This window comes from Homo sapiens, chromosome 18, assembly GCF_000001405.40.
Source record: "Homo sapiens chromosome 18, GRCh38.p14 Primary Assembly".
Taxonomy (NCBI): Eukaryota; Metazoa; Chordata; class Mammalia; order Primates; family Hominidae; genus Homo; species Homo sapiens.
Window position 1 is genome coordinate 29,234,170 of NC_000018.10, and position 25,271 is coordinate 29,259,440.

The following is a 25,271-nucleotide window of genomic DNA, read 5'->3' on the forward strand; positions in this document are numbered from 1 at the left end:
GCAAGACAAAAAGAGTCTGGAGATTGGTTGCACAATGAGAATGTATAGCTGCCCCTTGATATCTTGTTCCAGGAACCCCAGCAGAAATCAAAATTCATGGATACTTGTCCCTGATGTAAAATGGGGTAGTATTTGCATATAACTCTCTCTCACACACACACGCACACACACACATACACACATCCCCTTCTATACTTTAAATCATCGCTTGATTACTTATAATGCTTAATACAATGCAAATGTTATGTAAATGGTTATTATATTATTTTATTTGTATTTTTTATTGTTGTATTGCCTTTTTGGAGATGGGGTCTTACTATGTTGCTCAGGCTGGTCTCAAACTTCTGGGTTCAAGTGAATCCTTATGCCTCAGCCTTCTGAGTAGTGGATTGCTATTTTTGTCTTTTTTCTCTAATATGTTCAATCTGTGGTTGATTGAATCTGTGGATGTGCAACATGTGGATACAGAGGGCCCACTGTACTTAACACTACTAATCCATACATTTAAAAATAGTGAAAATTGTTTAAAAAAAAGAAGAAAAAATGCAGAAATAAATGACTTCTCAGGGCTTTTCTGAGCATGTTTGCCACTCAGGGCATGCAGGCAACCTATATTCCCTGGTATACATGGGAGATTTTCAAAGCCTGAATTCCCCAAAGTCTTACTGTCCCCAGCTTTCTTTCAGCATATGTGCTGTTTGACTCACCTGCTGTCTTCTACCCCAGGTTGGCAACAGCTTGTTCATTTGCTGTTCAATGATTTCAAGGAAGGTTCTCAGAATTTCTGATTGTTCACCATGAAAGAATTCCCAGTTATGCAAAATAAAGGCAAGATTTTTGTGTTAGTCCTTCAGGAAGGCCCAGACTAGTCAAAGATGACAACCACAATTCTTTAAAAACAAAGTCTGCTGGGGTCCCTTTGCAGTCAGGGACCCACAGAAGGAACATGACTGTGCTCTTCAAAACCACCAATGAAACTGAAGGGGGTAATGAGAAAGGGGGAGGTTAAAATGACACAGAACTCTCTCCTACCATGTTTCATTACCTCTTCCTTGACTAAGAATTCACTTAATTGTTCTCAATCTTTGAGTCGTAGTAAGTTTTGGCCAGTTTGACATTGTTTCTATGGTGGATGGTCTTTTGCCGGTCCCTACTCTGCCATTTCCCAGTAATCTATGAGTATTTTTAAAAGAGGTTCTGAAATAGCTGAAGAGAAAAAAAAAACTTAGTGGAGTGGAAAGAATATATGAAGAAATTACAGTACAGGGAAGAAAGAGATAGAAAATATAAGGGAAATGTAAGTCATGAGGGACAAAATGAGAATGTCTGTCACATATGCAAGATGAGTTCCAGAAATAAAGAAATTATAATGATAGAGGCAGGCGACAGCCAAATGTCTAGGCATATAGGGAAGGGTCCCTGGAGAGCCTCTCACCCACCCAAGTCATTTTGCACAGAGGGCTCGCCTAAGCATGCCCATGGTGAACAATTCTGTGCCTTAACACATGCACAGTAAGGGAAATAAATTAATGTGGAGTGGCTCAGACTAAGGGCCCACATGTACCCTGGGGGAACAGGGTGTAGCCACCAGGAATTTGTGTCTTTTGCTGGGAAGGAGCCTGGCTCTTCAGCCCCTGCGTGGAAGTCCTGGTACTTCAATTGTGAGGTGGTAACCTGGATGCAGGACCCCTCTCTTTGCTGAGAGCTTTCCTTTCACTTAATAAATTATGTCCTCTTCACCCTCCAATGTGTCCACATACCTAATTTTCCCTGGTTGTGAGACAAGAACTCCGATTTAGCTGAACTAAGGAGCAAAAAACCCTGCATCAATAGGTGACGGCAATATTTATAGATGCAGTAAATGATATTTTCCCTAGAATTTATGAGGGATATAAAGCTTCATAATCAGAAAGCCCAATACTTTAAAAAATCACACCTGGAAAATATAGAGAACCCACAAACATAAAAGCAATTTGAAAATATTTTTAAAATATTATTTTTTAGATTCCAGAACTAAGAATTAAGATCCTACACCTTTCTACCATTTCCATAATTTTCTCTCTTCCATTTTTTTAGATCTCTTCTGTTTATTTCCCTGTTTTATTTTCTCATAGCTATTCTACATTTCTCTTATTATGTTTTTTGTCATATATAATCTTCTTTGTGCACCTTGAAATTGTCTTTTTTATGAAATAATTTTTGTCATTTATTTTCCAATTTATTTTCTTTCTATTCCACAACTTGCTTTTATTTCATAATCTCTTCTCTGAGATTTTGCATTTCTTTTTCACGGTGATTACATTAGTCCTTTATTCCAACAAGAATACAATATAACAAACCATTTCAAAACTTAGCGCTTTAAAACACATCCCTGGGTCAGCAACTTAGTTTCGCTATGTGGGCCAGGTTGAAGTAATCTTACCTGGGTTTGCTCTTGTGTCTTTGTGGAGCTGGCAGACAGACTGGAGGTTAGTAATTCTATTATGGATCATCTAAAATGTCTTATATTTGCCCAGGTGATCTCTCATTCTTCTATAGTAACATAAGCTTGTTTTCCTAGCAGAAGCAAGAGGGTAATAGAGCAATTAGAAATGTATGCAAGACTTTTTATCGAACCTTTGCCAATATATTTTAAACATCTGATTGGTTAAAGAACATCATACAGCTAAGCTCAGAGCCAGAATGGGAGGTGACCACAAAGGTAGAAAGCAAAGATCATGGAAAGAGACAGGTCATTCTTAGTGCCATTAATGCAATAAATATGTCAAACTGCATGACCCTGCTTTGTTGAGTTTTTTCTGCTTGAAGGTAATTTTTTCCTGGAGTTGTTTTATCTACCAGATATTTAATGCCTCCATTATTCATTCTTAAGTTTCTAAGTCTTTTCTTATATTATTTTGCTAAAAAGACTGTAGTTTTATTTGTCTTGTTGATATTTGATATCCTGGATTTTGCTGAACTGACTTAGCATGAGGGTTCGATGGGGGTGGGTGGTTGAGCAGACATTTTAGTTTCCTCATTATTTCTACTATTGATACAAAAAAAAGCAGTTTTTAGGATATCAACATTTAATATGTGGAATATAGAGAGTGGCTTCAGTTTTCTTGACCAAATTTTAATAAAATAACTTTGAAAAATATTTTATGGTTGTCTTATTTAATTTAATGTTTCTGTAAAGGAATACTTGAGACTTTATAAAGAAAAGAGGTTTATTTGTCCCACAGTTCCTCAGGCTCTACAAGAAGGATGGTGGCTTACTTGAGACTTTATAAAGAAAAGAGGTTTATTTGTCCCACAGTTCCTCAGGCTCTACAAGAAGGATGGTGGCTTGGGAGGCCGAGGTGGGCAGATCACCAGTCAGGAGATCAAGACCATCCTGGCTAACATGGTGAAACCCCGTTTCTACTAAAAATATAAAAAATTAGCCAGGCGTGGTGGTGTGTTCCTGTAATCCCAGCTACTTGTGAGGCCAAGGCAAGAGACTCGCTTGAACCCAGGAGGCAGAGGTTGCAGTGAGCCGAGATAGTGCCACTGCACTCCAGCCTGGGTGACAGAGCGAGACTCCGTCTCAAAAAGAGAAGCATGGTGGCAACACCTGTTTCTGATGAGGGCCTCAGAAAGCTTCCATTTGTGACAGAATATGAAGGGGATCGCATAGTGAGAAAGGAAACAAGACAGTGAGGGGAGGGAGGTGCTGGGTTCTTTTTAACAACCAGTTCTTGTAGAAACTAATAGAATGAAAACTAACTCATTACCACAAGGAGGACACCAAAACATTTATGAAGGATCTGTCCCCATTAGACCCCACTTCCAACATTGGGGATCGAATTTCAACGTGAGATTTGGAGGGTCAGATATCCAAATTAAAGCAATAGTATTGAGTGAATGTGCAGATGTACATACCTATGACACTGTAATGCTATTCCTATGCCTACAGCCCATAGAAATTCATGCTTTTTTGCACAGAGATACATGTTCAAAAATGTCTGTTACATTAATGTTTACAATAAAAAAATGAAGACAGCCCCAAAGTTTACCATAATATTATGAATAAAAAATGATGAGATATTCTTTCTATGAAGTAGTATTCTAGCAATGAATAAAACACAATGAAAAGTAACAACATGAACAAATCTTACCCATACAATTTTGAACAAAAGAACTGAGGCACAGTAGAATAAATCATGTATAATTTCATCTAGATACAATTCAAAAACAGCAATATTAAACTATATTTTTTAGGTATGCTTAGTTTAAAAAGCAAAGGATGAATGGTGTTAAAGACTGTTGCTTACCCCTAGGGGATGAAGAGTATATTGATGTGTAGGGCATATTTGTGGTGCTTATTAAGTTTATGTTATTGTCCACACTTAGGATTAGGTGAGAGTTCATTTTACAAGACTGTTTGCTTGTTTGAATTTCAGTTATATACCAAAGTAGAAGATATATTTGGATATATCATATGATTTGGATGTTTTTCTCCTCCAAATCCCTTGATGAAATGTAATCCCCAGTGTTGGAAGTGGAGCCTGGAGGGAGGTGTTTGTGTCATGGCTTGGTAGCCTCCCACCTGAGTCATGGCTATTTTTTAAAATTAATTAATTAATTATTTTGAGATGGAGTTTTGCTTTGCTGCCCAGGCTGGAGTGCAGTGACACCATCTCAGCTCACTGCAACCTCTGCCTCCCAGTTTCAAGCGATTCTCCTGCCTCAGCCTCCAGAGTGGCTTGGGTTACAGGCATGTACCACTATACCCAGCTAATTTTTGTATTTTTAGTAGACGAGGTTCCATCATGTTGTCTAGGGTTGTATTGAACTCCTGGCCTCAAGTGTTCCCCCCACATCGGCCTTCCAAAGTGCTGGGGTTACAGGCGTGAGCCACCATACCCAGCCTCTGGTTGTTTTAAAGAGCCTGGCACTTCCTCCCTCTCTCTCTTGCTCCCTCTCTCACCATGTGACACGCTGGCTCCCCTTCCCTTCCACCATGATTGTAGGCTTCCTCAGGCGCTCACCAGACACAGATATGGGCATTGTGCTTCCTGTACAGCTTGCAAAATTGTGAGCCAAATAAACTTATTTTATATATCAATTACCCAGTCTCAGCTATTCCTTTATAGCAACACAAATGGACTAAGAAAATATTCAAATCTGGAATTCAGGGAAGAAGTTTAGTCCAGAGCATAAATTTGGGCACCTTCAGTGTATAGACATAATGTAAAACTATAAATCTAGATGACATATACAACAGTGTGTGTTAGGGAAGGGAAGATAAATAGTTTATTATGTGTTGAATTATGTTCCCTCAAATACATGTTAAAGTATTAATCCCTAGTATTTCAGAATGTGACTTTATTTAGAAATGGATTCAGTGTAGATATAATTAATCAAGGTGAAGTCATACTAGGATAGGGTGGGTCATAGTCCAATATGATTGGTGTAATTATAAAAAGTGGACATCTGGACAAAGACATGACACAGGGAGAATGCCATGTGAACAGGAAAGTAGAGATTAGGAACAGCAGAGATTGCCAGCAAACCACCAACCTCTATGAGAAGTTGGGATCAATTTTCCTTCACAGTTCCCAGAAGGAACAAACCCGGCCAATACCTTGATCTTGAGGTTCTAGTCTCTTGAACTGTGAGATAATAAATTTCTGTTGTTTTAGCAACTCAGTTTGTGGTACTTTGTTGCAACAGCTCTAGAAAACTAATACAGGGTCTAAGACTAAGGTTCAGTATTAAGAAGTCAGCAAAATGAAAATGCAACTGCAAAAAAATAAAAAAATGGTGAATGTGGTAGGAAGAAACCTGGTGGAACAAGAGGCCCTAGAATCCAAGTAATGGGTTGTAGAATGAAGGACTGGCTAAGCATATCTAAACTGATCAGAACTGAGAATTAATCCTTGGATTTAACAAAGTGAAGACATTGGTGATGTGACAAAATGCCTTTTGATGGAGTGGTTGAAGGTGAACATTCATGGAAAAAGTTTATTTATTTATTTATTTATTTATTTATTTATTTATTTATTTTAGGAGAGTCTTGCAGGAGTGCAGTGGTATGGTCATGGCTCACTGCAACCTCTGCCTCCTGGGTTCAAGTAATCCTTCCATCTCAGCCTCCCAAGTAGCTGGGACTACAGGTGTTTGCCACCACTCCTGACTAATATTTGTTGTTGTTGTTGTTGTTGAGATGGGGTTTTGTCATGTTGCTCAAACTAGTCTCAAACTCATGGGCCCAAGTGATCCTCCTGCCTCAGCCTCCCAAAATGCTTGGCTTACAGGCGTGAGCCACTGCACCTATCTGGAAGCATAGAATGAGAAGAGGGAACTTGAAGATAGCTGACACTGTCAATCTCATTAAGAGTTTACTGAGGATCAAAGAAATGGTGTGGTTAACCTTAGATGAATTGAAATTGGAAGTGTTTTTTAACCATTGAAGAAAAAAAGCATGTTTGTATACTGATACGAATGATCCAGTAAGGAAAGATAAATTAATTTTTATAGAATTAAAAGTAAAATTACTAGATTCCAGTCACTGAGGTCAAATGATATAGTATTTGGTACAGAGATTAGGGAGGCCTCCCGTAGAAGTACAGATGTGGTGAGAGCCAGTGGGAATTCTCAGATTTTATTTTTACTCTTTTGGTTTTTGTTTATAAAATTTTGTTTTTACTATTTATTCTCTTAACTGACTTTTCTTAGCTTTTAAAGTACTGAGTTGAAGCTCCTTTTTTTGTCGTTTGTTTTCAATCAATGTTTACTGAACACCTACCTGCACAGAGAGCAGATAGTCTGAGTTAAATGCTGGAGTTGCCACAGTGAGAAAGAGTTCATGCCTCCAGGAGCTTCCAGTTGAGTGGTTGGGGGTGGAGGGACAAGAAGGGCAACAGTTGCACCAACAGTGTTAAAATTGCAACTGTGGGTAGTGTGAAAAATAGGTAGATAAGAATTGAGGCTATTACAGCAGACTTATTTTTATTATTTTAAAGGTAAATAGGATCTAAGCTTTCAAGAATAAAGGAGATGGTGGCAAAATTTCAAGAGAGGAGAAAGTGTAGAAAGCCAGTGAAGAGGATAAGTAGATTAGAGAAATGTAATAGGAAAGTTCAGCAACATCCAGGATCCATTTGAGATGAGCGGTCATGAATGTAATGTGAGTGCATTTAGTAAAATTAGTTTTCGCTCCAGTCATATTTGGCTGGTCCATTTGGCTGGCCTTTTTAAGAGTCAGGTGGAGAGAATATGAGACCAGAGGAACCGTCACTGGCATCTTGTGGTGGTTGTGGTGAGTTATTAACCACTGGGAAACAAATACAGAATACATTGTCAGAAACCTCTTATTTGCCAACAGTGGAACTAATAGAATTTCTTTAATCAGACTCTTCTCAGAAAGACTGCTAAACAAGTCTTCCTCATTTTTCTTTTAATTATGGCAGATTTATAGTAATCACTAGAAAATAAGATTTTCTTATTTCTGTTTAAATGATGATTAAAATCTTAGAAAGGTATTATAAATCAACACTACAGTAGTAACAAAAATGGTAACTAACAATTGAACCACAAATTACTGTTGACAATGTTAGCATATATTCTTGCACTTATTTCTATCTACTTCTCTGTGAGATATTTTACTTTTATTTCACTTATAAGAAAACTGAGTTTCAGAAAGATTGTTGTGAATGATTTGTGACAATTATTGTATATCACTTAATTGGTGCCTGACCAATATGGTTTTAAAGTGTTTACAGCAGTTGCTCAAAAACAGTTTGTTTCTTGTTTGCCTACCTGGCTTAGTAGCATTTCATTTAATCTCAGAACAAATGTGGAGTTAGCAAAAACAAAAGTAACTATATTATTCACTTGTTCTGTGTTTTTATTGAATGAGCATAGTAAATCATAATTATTAAATATTAGGTCAGAAGGAAGTATCACAATTTGTAGGCAAAAATTCACCTATTTCCCTCTTGGTTAAGATTAATTTGTGTTTCCTTTTTACTTCCATATTACTACATTATATGAGTAAGAATTTAATTGGGAATCTAAATATCTTGGTAGATAAACTTTAATACAGGAAAATAGATTCTTACAAAACCATTGGAAAGGCTGGGTGAGTAAAGGTCAGAGGGAACCACCGCTGGCTTTAGGGAATGAGAAAGTACAGACTGTCTATGAGCTCAGCTGTCTGCTGAACTGAACAAGGTGATTTGAAGAAAATATCCAGGGTGCCTCTGCAAGTTGCTCTATTGCCTGGCTACACATACATCAGCCACTATTGGAAGAGAAAAAAATTACTTCTGCTTTCTACCTATGTAATTTCATACAAATGCCTATTATTATCAAAATCTAAACTGAAATTCTGATGACAAGAATCTAAAAATTATAGTGTTTAGTATTTCTAATGTGTGCTATACAAGGAGAGTTTTGAATGATAGGGATAGTGTTGAATATCCACAAACCATATATGATTCAGTTCTCATCCTTGAATTCCTGACATTTAAGAAATACTTATTTTATACCTAAACTCTTAATGATAAAAGCAATAGCAGGTAGTCCTATGCTATGGGCTGAATGTATGGGTCCCCGAAAAATTCCTATATTGAAATTTAATCCCCAAAGTAATGGTATTTAGAGGTGGGCCATTGGGAGCTACAAAATTTATGCTATCTTGGTCGGGCGCGGTGGCTCACGCCTGTAATCCCAGCACTTTGGGAGGCTGAGGCGGGCGGATCACGAGGTCAGGTCAGGAGATCGAGACCATTCAGGCTAACATGGTGAAACCCCATCTCTACTAAAAATACAAAAAAAAAAAAAAAAAAAAAAAAATTAGCCGGGTATGGTGGTGGGCGCTTGTAGTCCCAGCTACTCAGGAGGCAGAGGCAGGAGAATGGCGTGATCCCGGGAGGCGGAGCTTGCAGTGAGCCGAGATTGCGCCACTGCACTCCAGCCTGGGCGACAGAGCGAGACTCCGTCTCAGAAAAGAAGAAAAAAAAAAAGTTTATTTTATCTTATTATAAAAGCCCAAGCCGACTAAGACACGACCTAACATAATGTTTGATTGTTTTTGTCATTTTTTTTGGGAGGGTCTAACAGTCTTATACAAGGACAGATATGTGCACCCCTAAAAAGAAGAGATACAGACTCTCATCAAACTCTCTAACCACCTCTGTGCAATATTTATTAAATATTAATTATTACACTTCCAGTTCATTAACCAAGTACCTTTACATCCTGAAACTTAAAGAAAAAATGAGAACTCTAAGAAAAAAGTATTATACAATGCCTCATATAAAATAATGTGGGAAGAAGAGAAGAATATAATGTTAGTTAGTATGTACAAATCGAATAGCAAGCCAAGAGTTTGTTTCTTAAAGTGAAAATAGTTGTTTGTGGAAGAGAGAATGGCTTTTCTTCAAACAAATGGTGATTGAATATTGCATCCTGTATGGTGATAAACACTTTGAGCATCATTGCATCTTCCATTTGACAAGTTTCAATTGGCTGAGCATCTTTTGCTGAAGTCTCCACTGTCTGCAGAATATTTACATACTCTGATCATCACTCAAATTCTATGGCTATGGGCTTTGTGGTAAATGGTTAGAAGTAGCATGCATGCTCAAGTGTGAAATGTGTTGGCTCCAGAATCCCAGGAGGCTCAACAAGAGTTGATATGGTTTGGCTCTGTGTCCCCACCCAAATCTCATGTGGAATTGCAGTCCCCTCATATGGAGGGAGGGAGCTGGTGAGAGGTGATTTGATCATGGGGATGGAATTCCCCTAGGCTTTGTCTAAACCAAGAACTTAAATAAGTGCAGAGCAAGCAGAAAGTATTAACTGAAGGTTAAAAAGTGATCTATAGTGTTAGAACAGAGCATGATTAATGTGACAGTGAGTGAGTTGTCACAAGATCTGATGGTTTAAAAGTGTGTGGCACTTCCCCCTCAGTCTCTCTCTCCTAACACCATGTGGAGAAGGTACTTGCCTCCCCTTCACCTTCTGCAGTAATTTTAAGTTTCTCGAGGTCTCCCAATCATGCTTCCTGTTCAGCCTGAAGAACTGTGAGTAAGTTAAACCTCTTTTCTTCATAAATTACCCAGACTCAGATAGTTTTTTGTAGCAGGGTGAAAACAGACTAATACAAGAGTTTTGTCTCTTTTTTAGTGGCATAGGTCATAAGTGCAGTAAGTTGTCATTTATTTTTAAAGGGACATTTTGACAAGCCTTAGATGACTGAAAACATCATCAGTGTGGCATGACCCAGATTTGGAATTTTTGTGATGATAAGCATGTTTCCTCAAAAAATGGGCAGGGCACTTGTTACATCTTCTGTACCTCATCCAATCAGCATAATTAACACTGTGGACAAGTGATATGTCTTATTTATCAACATCCCTGCATTTTATTGCTATGCTTCTTCTTGCCTGGTATAACGCCTTCAAAATCAATTTCTTCACATATTCTTTAATTTTCTTTTGATATATATTGGCAAAAGTATTACAATTATTTTAGTTTATAAGCTTTCTACTTACAGAGTAAACTGGAGGGAAAATCTGTTATTTTTTTTTAAATAAGCTGGGATTTGACTTTTGTTTATGAGTCTATAGGTTCTGAAATTTGGGTGTTGAGTGAATCAGAAACCATTTTAAAGGTAATTATCTCACCACAGGGTCTTCTAACGAGAAGAAGCTAATCTCAAACAGATAATTTTGCTGACAGGAAAGAAAGACTGAAATTCAAAAGTCCCAAGTATTCAGAATCACCAGAATTCACTAGTTATCACCATTCGAAATTTCTGTATCACTTTTTTTGCCACAATTTATGCTCTAAGTTTCACATAATAGCTCTATAGAATTTGTGAATATCAACTAACTGTAATTTTGGACCCCAAAAGGCTAGCTTTTGTCTTATTTTTAACATTGAGTAGATATTCATTGAAAGCACAAGTAGAAACATTTGTTTTTTTAGCTTTATCTTGAGTCAAAAATTTAAAGCCTTTAATTGGTAACTTTTTTCAGAAGCTAACTATGGTCAGAGTAGCCATCCATAGTACTTACAGGCCTTATTTCAACTAAGTTCTATCTCAATAACCATCATGGTTTCCCAATGCCATACCCTTAAGAAATATTTCTTTCCAGGCAACTACAGACATGTTGGAGGCTACTAGTATCCCTTTTATATTAGCAGTGGTGTTATTACTGTTTTCAAATGAAACCAGTTAGATAACCAATTTATTTCCCACCTCGGAATCATTTATGTTACAAAATTTTACATCAGTCAAGTTTGGTTGGAAGACACAGAAATCACTCTAGATCTCTCAGTGGTAAATATTTAATACAGGGAATTAGATACACATATCTAAAGGGCTGGTAGAACACAGGCCAGGGATTTTATGCAATTAGGAGGGCAAGCATTGCAAGAAATTGTTGTTGATGATCTTAGACTCTTGGAGTACTGAAGCTTGAGAATCGAAGGTGTTTTCTAGGAAATTGATGAGATTTCAGATATGTAGCCTTTTCACTCACTTCCTTGAAACCTCTAAGGAAAGGGAATTGGTTGTTGTTCCCTTCTGGCTTTACGTTATAAACCATTACCTTCACTTTTACAATATAACCTAGAACTCTGTGGGCAAAGGATTCTGGAAAATAGTTTTTAGGTTTCCAGACTGTGACACAGCAGGGTAGTTGAGGTGGCTGAGAATGGTGATACATAGATAATTGTTCTCCCTTCCTCAAGTGTCATTTGCCCCCAGTCTATTCTCACTGAGGTTGGAAAAACATTTTAAACCCAAATCTGATTATACTACATATTTGAGCAAAATGTTTAATTTCTTTCCAAATTTTTCAATGCTAATATAAAAACTTATATATGTAGTCAATTAAATTTCACTGTTTGGACTTTGCTACCTTTTCCAGCCTGATTGTTGCTACAACTTATGAATAATGCTATTCATCCATCAAATATGCTATTCATAGCTACATGTAAAATTTAGGTAAGTTGGCCAACTTTCCACGTATATCTTAGCCCTAACTTACTCTGCATTTCCTCCCCACTGATCACTTTTTCATGTCAGACCAGTCCTTTAACTACATGCTTAAATTTTCATTCAAATATGTTTGCCAACATTTGGACTCAACTACAATCTGACACTCTCCTGTGCACACCAGTTCGTCCTGCAGAGGATAACCTTCATACATTTCCACTCCATTTACTGTGGAGGACAAACCGCTGTGCACAGTTTGGTGTGCACATTTTATTTTCAAACTGGTGTACACATTTTATTTACATAGATGGAATCTGCATTTTTATTTTTTTTAAACGGAGTCTCGCTCAGTCTCCCAGGCTAGAGTGCAGTGGCGTGATCTCGGCTCACTGCAAGCTCCGCCTCCCGGGTTCACGCCATTCTCCTGCCTCAGCCTCCTGAGTAGCTGGGACTACAGGCGCCCGCCACCACGCCTGGCTAATTTTTTTTTGTATTTTTAGTAGAGACGGGGTTTCACCGTGTTAGCCATGATGGTCTCAATCTCCTGACCTCGTGATCCGCGCATCTCGGCCTCCCAAAGTGCTGGGATTACAGGCGTGAGCCACCGCGCCCCGCCGCAATCTGCATTTTTTGAAATTCTCATTGCTAATTCCTGATTATTGCTGTTGAACTCCTGGGAAAGCTCTCCTGTTTTTGAAGTTTTGCTTCTACTTATTATCCTTTTATACTGTTTTCTGCTGCCGCCCTTTTGGAACATGGCTGAAAGTATTTCTTTTTATTCCAAATACTGATAGCCTCCATAATGACTGCAAAGAATATGTGGCTAGCCCACTAGGCGCCTTGTTTTCACAAATGTTTGACTTCTTGGATCTCAGTTCTTTCAACTTCCACTCTACTTTAGACACCCTTTCCCATGACCACAATCTGGATTTTATCATAACTTATAATTTTATTACCTCTAATAAAATAAGTTCCAAATACTAATTGCTAATCACAGTCTCCATTCATTTCAGCTTTTTACTTCATTACTTTTACTATATAGTATTTTATCTTTATCATGTCTTTGGAGATTCAATTTCTCACTAACTTTTCTCCTATTCCCATTGTTTCAGTTTATTTCCTATGAACTCCAGCATCAGTGGTTAATCATATCAACATTTTATTTTCAGTTTCCATGTTTGATTTGATTGTTTGGATGTTTTTTCCTCCTCATTTATATGGTTTTTGGCATAAGCATTATAAAAACCCTTATAATTTGCTCAATCAAGCCATCTACCTCCACTCCTCATAATGTTAAACGTTGCTAGAGAAAATCATGCATCCTTACAGACTGACGCTTCCACAAATTGTTTCGTTCGTACTCACTGGACACTCAGTTCTCATGCAATCATTCTACTTATTTTCCACCTTCTTGTCATTTCTCATAACACCTATGGAATCTTCTTTTTCTAGACCCCAAAATGTAAGTGTTCTACAATGTTTCACTATTACACTGCTTCTTTCGCCTTATTCTGCCTGCTCTTTCTAGATCACCTTATCTTTTCCCATAGTTTAAATTAGAATTTATAGGCTGATAACTTTGAAATCTGTATCTCCAGCCAAGACATCTTTCCTGAGCTTCAGGTTTATATGTTCAACTACAAGCTGAACACTATGTTTAGTACAGAGTAGTATTCCAATAAATATAACTTTACTGAATAAATAAACTTAGTAAAAAATTACATGAACAAACTCAAGATACAAGATTTTACCCCAGTCTTGAAAACAAAGGCTCCTCTATTATTTGTTTTTTAATAACATGTCGATACCTCTATGGAAATGCTTATGTTACAGTGACATTGCTTCATACAGGACCATGTTTTATTTTCAGCATGCATTTTGTGGCAATAAAATAGAAATTGAATGTTAAATAATATAAAGGTGTTCCATCATATTAACTTGTACATGTTAGGTAATTTACTCTCTTTTATACAGATGAATTAATAAAACTGAATTATTCATGGAAAGCCAGCTTATCTTGTGTTCAAATTACAATATATACAAAAATTATATGACAATGGTGTTTTTGAAGAAAACAAGAATTTACCAGTTTATATAATACTGTCTTCTCACAGTACAATAAGGTGATTATACATAAATACCCATTTGAATGTCCTGATATAAAGGGTGAAAACCAGGCTATAGTGGAAATATAAAATGTTTTCTGTGCTTCCCATTATCTTTTGTCTGGTGATTTATAGATAACAAGGAATCATAATATATTTCCTCTCAATGGCTCTGGAATTCTATCCTACAAGATTTATTATATTTAAGATGCTGATTGTTTTACTTTCTTGTTTCACTATAACATCCAATTAATTATATTGATGTCTTTTTTTTTTTTATAATCTAGCACCCCACTCCTGTGACATAGTGAATATAATGTAGCCATCTGCTTTTGTGAGGGCCATAGATTTATTTTTTCAAATATTAATGCACATGAACTGTTCTATGTTAATTTTTACTGTCATAAGTCAAATGTGTGTTTTTAAATCAGATTTCCTATTTGGTAATATTATAGTAAGTATTTAAGAAAAAAACTGCCCTAAAAAAGGAAGTATTAAGAACACCATAAAAGCTCAACCACTCCATTCTCTCTTCCCAAGAACTGCAGACGAGTTTAATCTTAGAAACTAAATAAACTTACTGAGAGCATGCCATCTATCACACCTAAACAAAGTCCTGGGTCTCCTGTTTAACCTATTCCCATTTTAATAACAAAACGGAGAGATGTTTTCTCCCATAGTACACACACCAAATTGTTATTGATTTTTTCTGCTGATCCCGCAGGCATTGTTCCCACTTTGTGTATCCCTTTGTTTCTCTAACCTTCTGCAAATCACATTGGTAATGCATTCACAATAGAGATTAAGTCATCCTCTTGTTCAGTTATTCTCTCTTTTGGCTGCTAGGGTGTTTTTGCACTTTATATATTCAGCAGCTTTTATGCCTACTTGAAATGGCCAGAAACACTTTTTTCCTTACTTTCCTCTGACTAGTAATACTACTGAGGTATTATTGCCTATGCCTATGACATAGTAATACCCTATGACTCAAACTACATTTCCCATTCCAGGTGTTCCTGCTTATACAGTGAGCTTTTAATAAGAGTGTTTCCATCATTTTGACCTAATTTATTTAGATGCACTTAATTCTCATTTTATATTTTCTTATTTGCATTAAGTAGGTAGGAACAATTTTAATAACATATGGACTCAAAAGATTTCATTCATATGAGTCTTAAAGATGTCTGTATCAGTTTGATCATGTTGTTGTCCAATTCATTATTATTGTTATTATTATTATTATTATTATTGAGACAGAGTCTCATTCTGTCGCCCAGACTGGAGTGCAGTGGCGCGATCTTGGCTCACTGCAAACTCACCTCTCGGGTTCAAGCAATTCTCCTGCCTCAGCCTCCCAAGTAGCTGGGATTACAGGTGCCCACCATCACTCCCGGCTAATTTTTCTATTTTTTTTTTAGTAGAGATGGGGTTGCACCATGTTGGCCAGGGTAAAAACTATTGTGATAAAGAACCAGAAAACTCCAAAAATGACCTTGATTTTCCATCTTTAGAAAGCAATGACTATGGGGTCAGCACTTTCTTATAGTCATTTGAATCCTTCCTGTCTTATGGCTGGGAAGAAGGTAGGTCTAAACGTCTGTAATAGTTTTAGTCAATTATTAGCTCTGAGGATATATTTATATTAAAGCTTTATATGACTCTGACCATTGGTTCCTCAAATCTATGTGGCATTACAGAATGCACTGTGACAAATTGTGTGCATTTATCTCCTTCTAAAAATAGACAAGCCCTAGCAGTATTAGTAGTAAAAGAAAGCACGGCAGCATGAACAGGATTGAAAGTCCCATAACTGGCAGAGCTCCATCACTGGGGCAACTTGACTTCACATGGCAAACAGGAAGGTCAGGATTAATAGCCAAAAACCGTAAAGAAAAATATATAGTTGGAGGAGAAAGACTGCACTGTAGAAAGTATTTTAATTGCATGTTCCCTTTTCCTTTGTGTTCATTTTCTTTGACTGGATGATCTATTATTCAAAAAGTATTATATAATTGACATGGTTTGACTGTGTCCCCATTCAAATCTCAACCTGAATAGTATCTCCCAGAATTCCCACATGTTATGGGAGGGATCTAGGAGGAGGTAATTGAATAATGGGGGCTGGTCCTTTCTATGTTATTCTCATGGTAGTGAATAAGTCTCACAACATCAGATGCGTTAATCAGGGGTTTCCGCTTTTGCTTCTTCCTCATTTTTCTCTTACCACCACAATGTAAGAAGGGCATTTTGCCTCCTGCCACGATTCTGAGGTCTCCCTAGCCATTGAAACTGTTAAGTCCAATTAAACTTCTTTTTCTTCCCAGTCTCCGGTATGTCTTTATCAACAGTGTGAAAACACACTAATGCAATAGTCATATTCACATCCTGCATGATGATTATTGACTATTTACTTAACATAGGCCTAAGAAGTTGGTTCTAGAAAAGTGTTGAAGCTCCTGCTTCATCACCTCACCTCTTGTCCTCAATTCCTACTTTTGCACAGGCAACATCACAGTTGTCTCGAATAGAAAGGACCTGGAAGAAGTGACCTGAATATCATACAGGCAGATTCTCTGGTCTTTATATTATTAGATACTCCTGCCACTGTCAGTGCAAAAATGAATAAAATATAGTGTCAATCCAACATGCACTGAAAACCCCCAAGCTGTGCCATTTGGCAAGAGGTCACTCTAGGTCACTTTGAGTATGTTTTGCATAAAAGACAGTGTAGAAAATAATGAAGCTATTGTCACCTTTAATAGCTTTTAGTGTCAGATAGTAATCCAGACATGTGCTTTCCCAGTTTATTCTCTATTGTATTTATGTTTCTGTCAATCACTCTTTTTCATTTTCTTTGTGTTCATTTCCTGAGAAGGACTGTCACATGCATTATGCCCATTAAATCCTAGTGCCAGTAAGTTTTAGGTAAGAATAATTTTGTTCTCAAGCCAAGAAAGTGGAGGCATAATAGACTAAATTCCTTGAAAATTCTTTTCAGTTTCTGAGTTCTATTTTATACTTTGGAACAGCTGTTCTTTTCTAAGACCCCCCCAAGTTAACATTTTAGCTAAAGAAATAGCAATTCTTCCTAAAAAGTTATTTTAAACTGAAAGAAAACTGATAATACATAAGATTTATGATGGAAAATCCATAAAAGCACTGGAAAGTAAAAACCTTTAACTTCATTTTTTTCTATTCATTTATACAGCAAATATGTATCAAGCATCTACCAAGTGCAATTTGCATGTCAAATGATAGAGATATGGGCATTTAAAAAAAAGACATTTTAGCTGTCTTCACATAGTTTAATTTCTAGTTAGGGAGACACATAATAATAATCGTAAATATTAATGTGTCAAAAGAACTGATCAGGATTATAAAAAGAAACATAGATAGCCTTTCTAAACGATGTTAAAGGGATCTAATTTACTCTGAGGGCTCAGGTTGTGATTTCTCTGAGGAAATGAAACTCAATTCGAAGTTAAAATTGGGGTGCAATATGGGAAAATTCTGCATAGAGGGAGAAGCAGGTCCAGAGTTTCTAATATGAAGGAGCAAGGAACTGAGGAAGGGAGTTGAAGCTGACATGCAGAGATGGACAGGCCAGACTCCTACAGTGTGGTCAGGCAGTGGTAAGGCACCAGACCACTCAAACCTTTGTGGTCAGGCTAAGGATTTTTATCATAGGACACATTTGAAGCTATTGAAAGAGACTTAATTGGTAAAATGTCCTTGTTATATGTCTCTTTTGAAATAATCACCCTGGTTACAGAGTGGAGAATAAATTATAGCACAGCAAAAATGTAAGAAGGGATTTTTTTTTAGAGCATTTCTTTTCAATTAGAAAAAAAATTATAGCTTGATCTAGGGTCATGTGATATAAATGGATATACTTGAAAATTAGAAGGTAGAAGTTATAAGACATTGTGATGGAATCGGAGAGAGGTTTGTAAGGCAGCGTGACTTCTAGGCTTCTGGCTTACCGAATGAATGGATGAAGAAGCCATTACTTGTAGTGGGAGGCCTAGGAGGTGAGGAATGATGGTAACATGGTGTGAAGAGTTAAGGACTGAAGATATAAATTTAGAGTTATAATGATAATGGAAGCTTTATAATAATGTAAAATTTCCTAGAAAGAGATTGTACTAAAGAAAAATAAATCCTGAGGTAGGGCATTAATGTATTTTTATATTTAGTATTGTTTGTTGTAAGGTAGGAGATTGGAGCATATTTAAATATTAATGGAAAGAATGCAATTAAAAGAAGTTTTATGTGAGAGAAACAAAGAATGCCTAGCAAGGTCTTTTAGAAGATTGAAGGAGTGAGAATATAAAATGAAGATAGAAGAAACAATACTTTTTTTATGCCCGCCAATTTATGAACATATTAATTAGTGATTTGTCTAAAGCACAAAACAGCTTGTGTTTTCCCACTTTTTAGTTTTGTGACATTTGGCAAATGACTTAAATTTGTCATGTTACTCTTTCTGCAGTGACAAGATATAGCTCATAGGTTTATTGTTAGGATTAAATGCGTTGGTACATAATGAAAATTCAGAAAAGTTCTAGGCACAGAGTGAGAAACCAGTAAATTATCAGATTTTTATAGCAATTTTAAAATTGTATGGAAATGTTCTGCATAATTGTTTTGTCTAGGTTACAGATGGCTCTAGGATAAAGGACAAATGTACCTCTAAAGCCGAGCTTACCAATGTATATCTGGTGTTCAGAATTTAAATGAGTTTTGCAATCTGCAGGTAAGAAGTTTGGTTTTTAGATACTACTGGTAAGGACATATACAGCAAACATACACCCATTTCCAGGCAAATGAGTTATACTCTAAAATAAAGGGTAAAATTTGTCCAGTTAAGAGCAGTGGAGGATATAATCAAGTGTCTTTTTTGAATTGGTTTTCAATACTGAATGTAGAAAGATAACACTATCATCATGCATTCAATGACATGCGTTTCCCACCTGATGTATGCAAAACTCTCCTAAATCAACAAGGAGTTTTCTGGAGTCTTTTTAATCAAGTGTTATGATTGAATCATACTGGAATCAGGGCTTCAATTGACTATTTAATTGATGAGGCCAAAAAAAGGTGCAAACTGTCTCTAGGTAAAGGATAGTCTTATTTGGTACAGTTGAGATGAATAGGATTAGATTTGATTAAATTAGATTAAGTTGAATTAAATTAAATTAAATTGTCACCTTGCTCTTTTAAGCTTCTTTGTCTCTTATGGACTTGCTTGTTTATTACAGAGGCTTATTTATGAAATTCCCTCTTTTCTGTCTAGGTTCTGAGCGTATTCTGAAGAAAGGATTCATAGAAAGCGGTCAACTATATTATCAGGAAATAGACATGTTTCCACATGGGACAATTTCACTTAGAAATTTTGACATTTTTAATATGGTTATTTAACCTGGATGTTATGGTCAATAAGATTTTCAATTTAGTCCTTTTTTTTTTTTTAACTTGGGAACAGCCTTGTAGAGATTCTGTTAAATTTCAGGATATCCCCATTTTCCCAGAATTACCAAAGGTATTCAAGGAAACAGAAGAAAATGCAGAAGCAGTAATCTTCTAGGAGTTCTACTGCACATTATAAGTGATAAAAGCTTTACTGAAGATACAGATATAATATATATTCATTTAATTGTATATATTTAAATCAGTGGCAGCTCTATTATGCAGAGTAGATTACAGACAATGATGTTAGGGCAGTATAGTATTTACACTCTTTTCTGTACAAATGAGAGTGTTTTGAAATTTACCAGGGGCTATAGCTTAGTGCCACATGGGATGAGTTCTACTTATAAGTCCACCTTTATAAAATGTGATTTTTCAGAAGAGTTTAGAATTCCAGAATTAATAGGTCAAATTAGGGATTTTCTAACCTTGAAACTTTCCCACTGTTTCTGTTCAGTTGCATCCTAATACTAAAATATAATGCAAAAGTGAGTTTGCTGGATCTACTCACAGGATAATACATCTGCTTCTCCTTTGGGCATATTAGATTATACTATGAGAGTGAATAAATGAAAAAGATATAATTAACATGCTTCTCAGAAAATTGGAATTACTGCTTTTTCTACCACAGATTGTTTAGATAATGTAATAAAAGCTTACAAAACCTCTCTTCAATTAGTTAATTCTGTCATCTTTAATCTCAATTCAGATATTACTTTCTCAAGGAATGCAATTTCTAAGACTGAGTCAAGTCCACCCGATAGATGAACTTGATATATGTGTTCGTTGTACTTGTTCTTCTGCCTTGTTCCACTTATTACATTTATAATTAATAATTTTGTGTAATTAGCTCTTAGATGCTTAGATTCTTTACTAGACTATTAGACTATAAATGTATCCATGAATTTATGACTCCATACCTATTTTATCTATTACATGTAGTAATAAACCTGCAGAATAAATTTCAAGGTATCCGTTACTTAAAGACAGATTCTACATTATATATGCCCCAGACATTTAATAAGTTTGTTATCTTAATAAATGCATGTCAATGACTGCACTTTCAATAGAGAACTTCTGCCATTTCTAATAAATTACTAATTATGAATTCAAGCAGGTTGCATAGTGTCCCTCCAAAATTCATGTCAACTTAGAACTTCAGAATGTGAACTTATTTTAAAATAGTATGTGTAAATGTAATTAGTATGAATGATATACTAGATTTAGGGTGGACCCCAAGTTAATAACTCTAAGCCCTTATAAGAAGAAGAGCGGACACAGACACAAACAAAAGGATGTGAAGATGCAGAAAATGGAGTTAAGTTGCCACAAGCCAAGGAACTCCTGGGTCTACCAGAAGCTGGAAGAAGCATGTAGTAAAGATTACTCTGTAGAGCCTTCAGAGGGAACATGGCCCTGCTGCCAAGTTAATTTCAGACATCTATCATCCACAACCTTGGTAGCATAAACGTTCATTGTTTTAAGCCTTTTACAGTAATTACCCAGTTTACAGTATTTTTAAATGTCAAATCTATGAACTATATGAATATACTTGCAAGTTTAGGTGGGCTCTTGATCAGTAATTAATTTTCTTGATCTCCTTCAATGAAATGTTTGAAATCTGTAGAACAATAAAACACATTGAAGAATAAGATAGATTTCTCCTAGTGGGGTCATAAATAGGAAAATATAAATTAATATTATATGGTGGAAATTAGGAAAGCTTATTAGATGTATTTGGTACAGCAGATTTTTTAAAGTATCAAATACATTTTCATGGGTGATAATAAGAACATTCAAAAGGAGGGCCAGGCATGGTGGCTCACGCCTGTAATCCCAGCACTTTGGGAGGCCGAGGAGGGCAGATCACTAGGTCAGCAGTTCGAGACCATTCTGGCTAACACGGTGAAACCCCGTCTCTACTAAAAAAAATACAAAAAAAAAAAATTAGCCGGGCGTGGTGGCACGTGCCTGTACTCCTAGCTACTCGGAGGGCTGAGGCAGGAGGATCACTTGAACCAGGGAGGAGGAGGTTGCATTGAGCCAAGATTGCACCACTGTACTCCAGCCTGGGCGACAGACTCTGTCCTAACAAAAGAAAGAACATTCAAAAGATCTTTCTGTATTAACAATAAATCTATTACATAGAAATTTGAAGCAGACCAGTTAGCTTGAAAAAATGCTTCTATTTCTTAAACACTGTTTATATCAAAAACAGTTTCATTAAGAATTTATCATTCAACATTGACTAAATGGATCTTTGGTGGATCAAAACTAACAAATAAAATGTCAATAATGACTGAGAATCCCCAAGGTGATCAAAAGTTCTAAATTTGAAATCACTGACATTTTCTACCTTCCCAATGAACATTTAGAATAATGATAATTTTTCTAGATGCTTTTCACATCTTTTAAACAAAAACCCAGAATGGATAAAAGAGAACAAATATCAAGGATGTAGGTGCCAGACACAGGGCAGAAGGTAGCTAGAAAAGTATGCCTTAGGGAAATTAAGGGCCTAGCCTCATTCCTGCCTTGTTTTAATAGCTGTACCTCACATAAATAGCTTAGTTTTCCATTGTTCTAGCTTCCTCTGCCCCATCTACAAACATGGCACAGCCAGCTTGCCTTGCAAGGCCTCAGTTGAAGGACCCCATGTACACATAGGCCAGTACAGCAGTACTAGGTTACTGGGGAAGGATCTCATCCCCATATGTGGTCTCATTCCAAGTCTATGGCTGATTACCTTCATTGTTGTGTGTGAAATGTTTTCACCCCTTGAAAATATGGCCACTTCAGCATACAATAGTTAAATCTTTATAATGACCAGTTAATTCATCCTACCCCTTTTACATGCAGCTGAAAAATGACAGTCCAGGGACATAGAACATTGTGAACTTTATACCTTTAGAATCACTTTCCATAAAATGATCACTAGCTAATGGTCACTAAATTTACAAATTAAGGAAATTATATATAGAACACTGCAAAAACACAGTAAAAAGACTGAAGTTTGCCCATTTCTGCTCAGGAAGTCTCTTTGCTCCTAAGCTTCATATGTTGTCCAATTTGGCTTCAAAATTTCTGCTATTATTACTGTTTCTCCTCCTTTTGATCTTCCTTTTGTTCCCCAGTGCCAGAATTTCCAGAGCCTTCTTGCTCAGATGCCATCTTTTTGTATGCCATTTCGAAGAGCTTCAGTGATGCCTGCTGAAGAGAGGATGCTGTTTGTCCAATGTTTTCTCCCGTTTCGCTGTCTTTTCTATCCAGAAGCCCCTTCATTTTGGAAATCTCTTCTTTTAGCTTTTGCACTTATCAGCAGGTAATTGGTCCTTGAATTTAAAATGTGGAACGCTTCACAAATTATGTCATCATAATTTAAAATAAAGGGAAACACAGAGCTTTCTGATTTGTAAAGAGATTTACAAATGACCTTAATAATTTATTTTGACCAAAATATTATTTTTAAAAGAAAAAATTAAAGAAATAAAACCCACTTTTTTGTCTGCTAAAATTAATACACTGCTAAAAAAAGGATAAAAGTGGATATTTTTTATTAGGCGAATTAGTTATTACACTTTTCTCCCTGTGACAAAATGTGTTTTCTTTTTCATAGTAGTGCTTTGTACCAATTGAGAATCTGGGCTTAAAAGTCAGAATGTAACAGAGGTTCAAATACTGACTTTGACAACAGCTATAATTAAATAATATAATGTCTTCAAAGTGTTTAATGCAATTCTTTTCATATAATACACTCAAAAAACAGGAGCTTTCATCGATCTAATAATACTGCAAATTTCTTGAGGCAAAGATTTTGCTTTATTTATGTCTGAATCCTCAGTACAGTGTTGACATATAATAAAGGCTTAATAAATGTTTATTAAATAAATGAATGACTAAAAAAGAATCTGTCCAATGGGTATGGTAATCATCTAATTCCTTAATAAATTTGGACATTATAAGCAAGTGATCTAGATAAATTCATGTAATAACAATATGCAAAATAATAGCTACTATTTATCAAGCATTTATTGTATGTTAGGAACTATTAAAATGCTTTGGATAAGCTATCTTATCTGACCGTCCTAAAAGTCTGTAAAATCTGTGAGGCAGCTATTTCCATATTTTTTATTTTAAGTAAAGATAAGCAGAGCTTAATAGAGTTTAAATTGTTTGCTTCCAATCAAACAACGAAATATGGCAGAACTTGTATCTAAAGTCAAGTCAGTGTGATGAAAACACTGTCTTTCCTCATGTACTATATTAATAAAAACTATGTAAATATTTTAATATTATACTCAATTGTAACCAGATTTGGGGAGTGGGGGAATAATTTGTCTAATAAGCTGTAATTATACAGGTGAATGTATGTGAAAGAATATTGATGTGCCCAGTCCCCTCCACCATAGAAGGAATCTTGGTTTTCCTGAAAAAACAACAAACAAACAAAACTCTTTAGGGAATTAGGAAATCTTGGCTGATTCTGATTTCTGTGATAATACTAACCTGTGGCTTACTTAGCCTTGTGTTAATCTTACTTGAGATATTTTTGTTCAAATTAATAATTGTTAACATTTGAAATTCCTCTTGGAATAAGTTCATGATTATTTTCAAGTGGAGATAGGTTTGCTCTTAACAAACAATCATATGGAATAATATTTTGCTCAAGAATTTTTGAAATGCTATGCCAAAACAGAAGTCTCTGAATGGCATTTCAACTAGAATAATTAGCTCTTATTTGGTTAAGAGTTCAAAATCTCCTAGAGGCAAATTATTATTTCCCAAAAGAGGCTTTGCATCTCAAACTATCTAAGCACATTCCTATCTTACATTTATATTACTGTTGAATCAACAATTTTATGGATGTTTAATTTTTAGAGGGCATTAATGCTTTACAGATACATTTAATTACACGGAAAACACTGCAAAAATTATTGTTGGTTAAATGACAGAGAAAAACAAAACAATCATTTTATAGTCCAGTAATTTCATTGAAATAGAATTTTGATGCATCAAGGTATATACATTGACTTAATAAATCATGACAAGGAACTTAGCAATTACATAATATTAACATGACCTTATTTTTGGATTCCAAATATATTTTAATGAATGAGTCAGGTTAAGAGCCTTTATTTCAAGTCTAGTGTAAGCAAAGGAAAGAATAAGCAATATGATTTGACAGTTCTTTGCTTTGGTAGTATTCATATAATTGTAAGAAATAGTGTAAGTGTAACTGTAAAACTACAACATAACTATAGAAGTATTAACATAACTAGACAGAAATAAAATAGAAACCTGTATGTAGAAAGACTTCGCCAGAGATGATAATTAAAATTCAGTAAAAATACTCAGTTTTTAAGCTTATATTCAATTTATTTTGAAAAAGAAAAAAAAATGCAGTGGGATGCTTCACTCTTCTCTGGCATTGCATAGATTTTCCAGGCTTTGACTCACCTGCTTCTGTTTGGCATTATGGTACTGCCTACTTGCAGATAAAAGACTGCAGAATGTAAAGTTAAGAGTGTTTTGATTTGGGTCCTGGGTGTAATAACTGTTAATCTGATTGCCATCAGGTATGTGAATTTTTTTTGCACTTCAGAGTTTTCAGATGTGAAATGAGGGTAATAGACTTTAGAGGGGTAGTGGGAGGAGCGAAAACAAATGTAGGTAACAGACTTTTAGAAAACTGAATGCCATACAAATGCAAGTGGTTAGTA

At 35.9% G+C, this 25,271-nt stretch overlaps 1 long non-coding RNA gene and 1 pseudogene across 2 annotated transcripts in view; both read right to left on the reverse strand.

The window, feature by feature from the left end:
• Nucleotides 1–21,172, reverse strand: part of LOC105372044 (uncharacterized) — a 74,947-nt gene extending 53,775 nt beyond the window's left edge. Inside the window, exons 1-3 of one of the 2 annotated variants that reach the window (XR_935327.3) lie at nt 21,104–21,172; nt 2,423–2,556; nt 708–784 (exon numbers count right to left, since the gene is read on the reverse strand). This is a non-coding gene — a long non-coding RNA (uncharacterized LOC105372044). The remainder of the gene's footprint in view (nt 1–707; nt 785–2,422; nt 2,557–21,103) is intronic. The other variant, XR_935328.2, reaches the window with a different exon arrangement.
• Nucleotides 21,173–22,120: 948 nt separating this feature from the next.
• HSPA9P2 (heat shock protein family A (Hsp70) member 9 pseudogene 2) lies at nt 22,121–22,891 on the reverse strand (annotated as a pseudogene).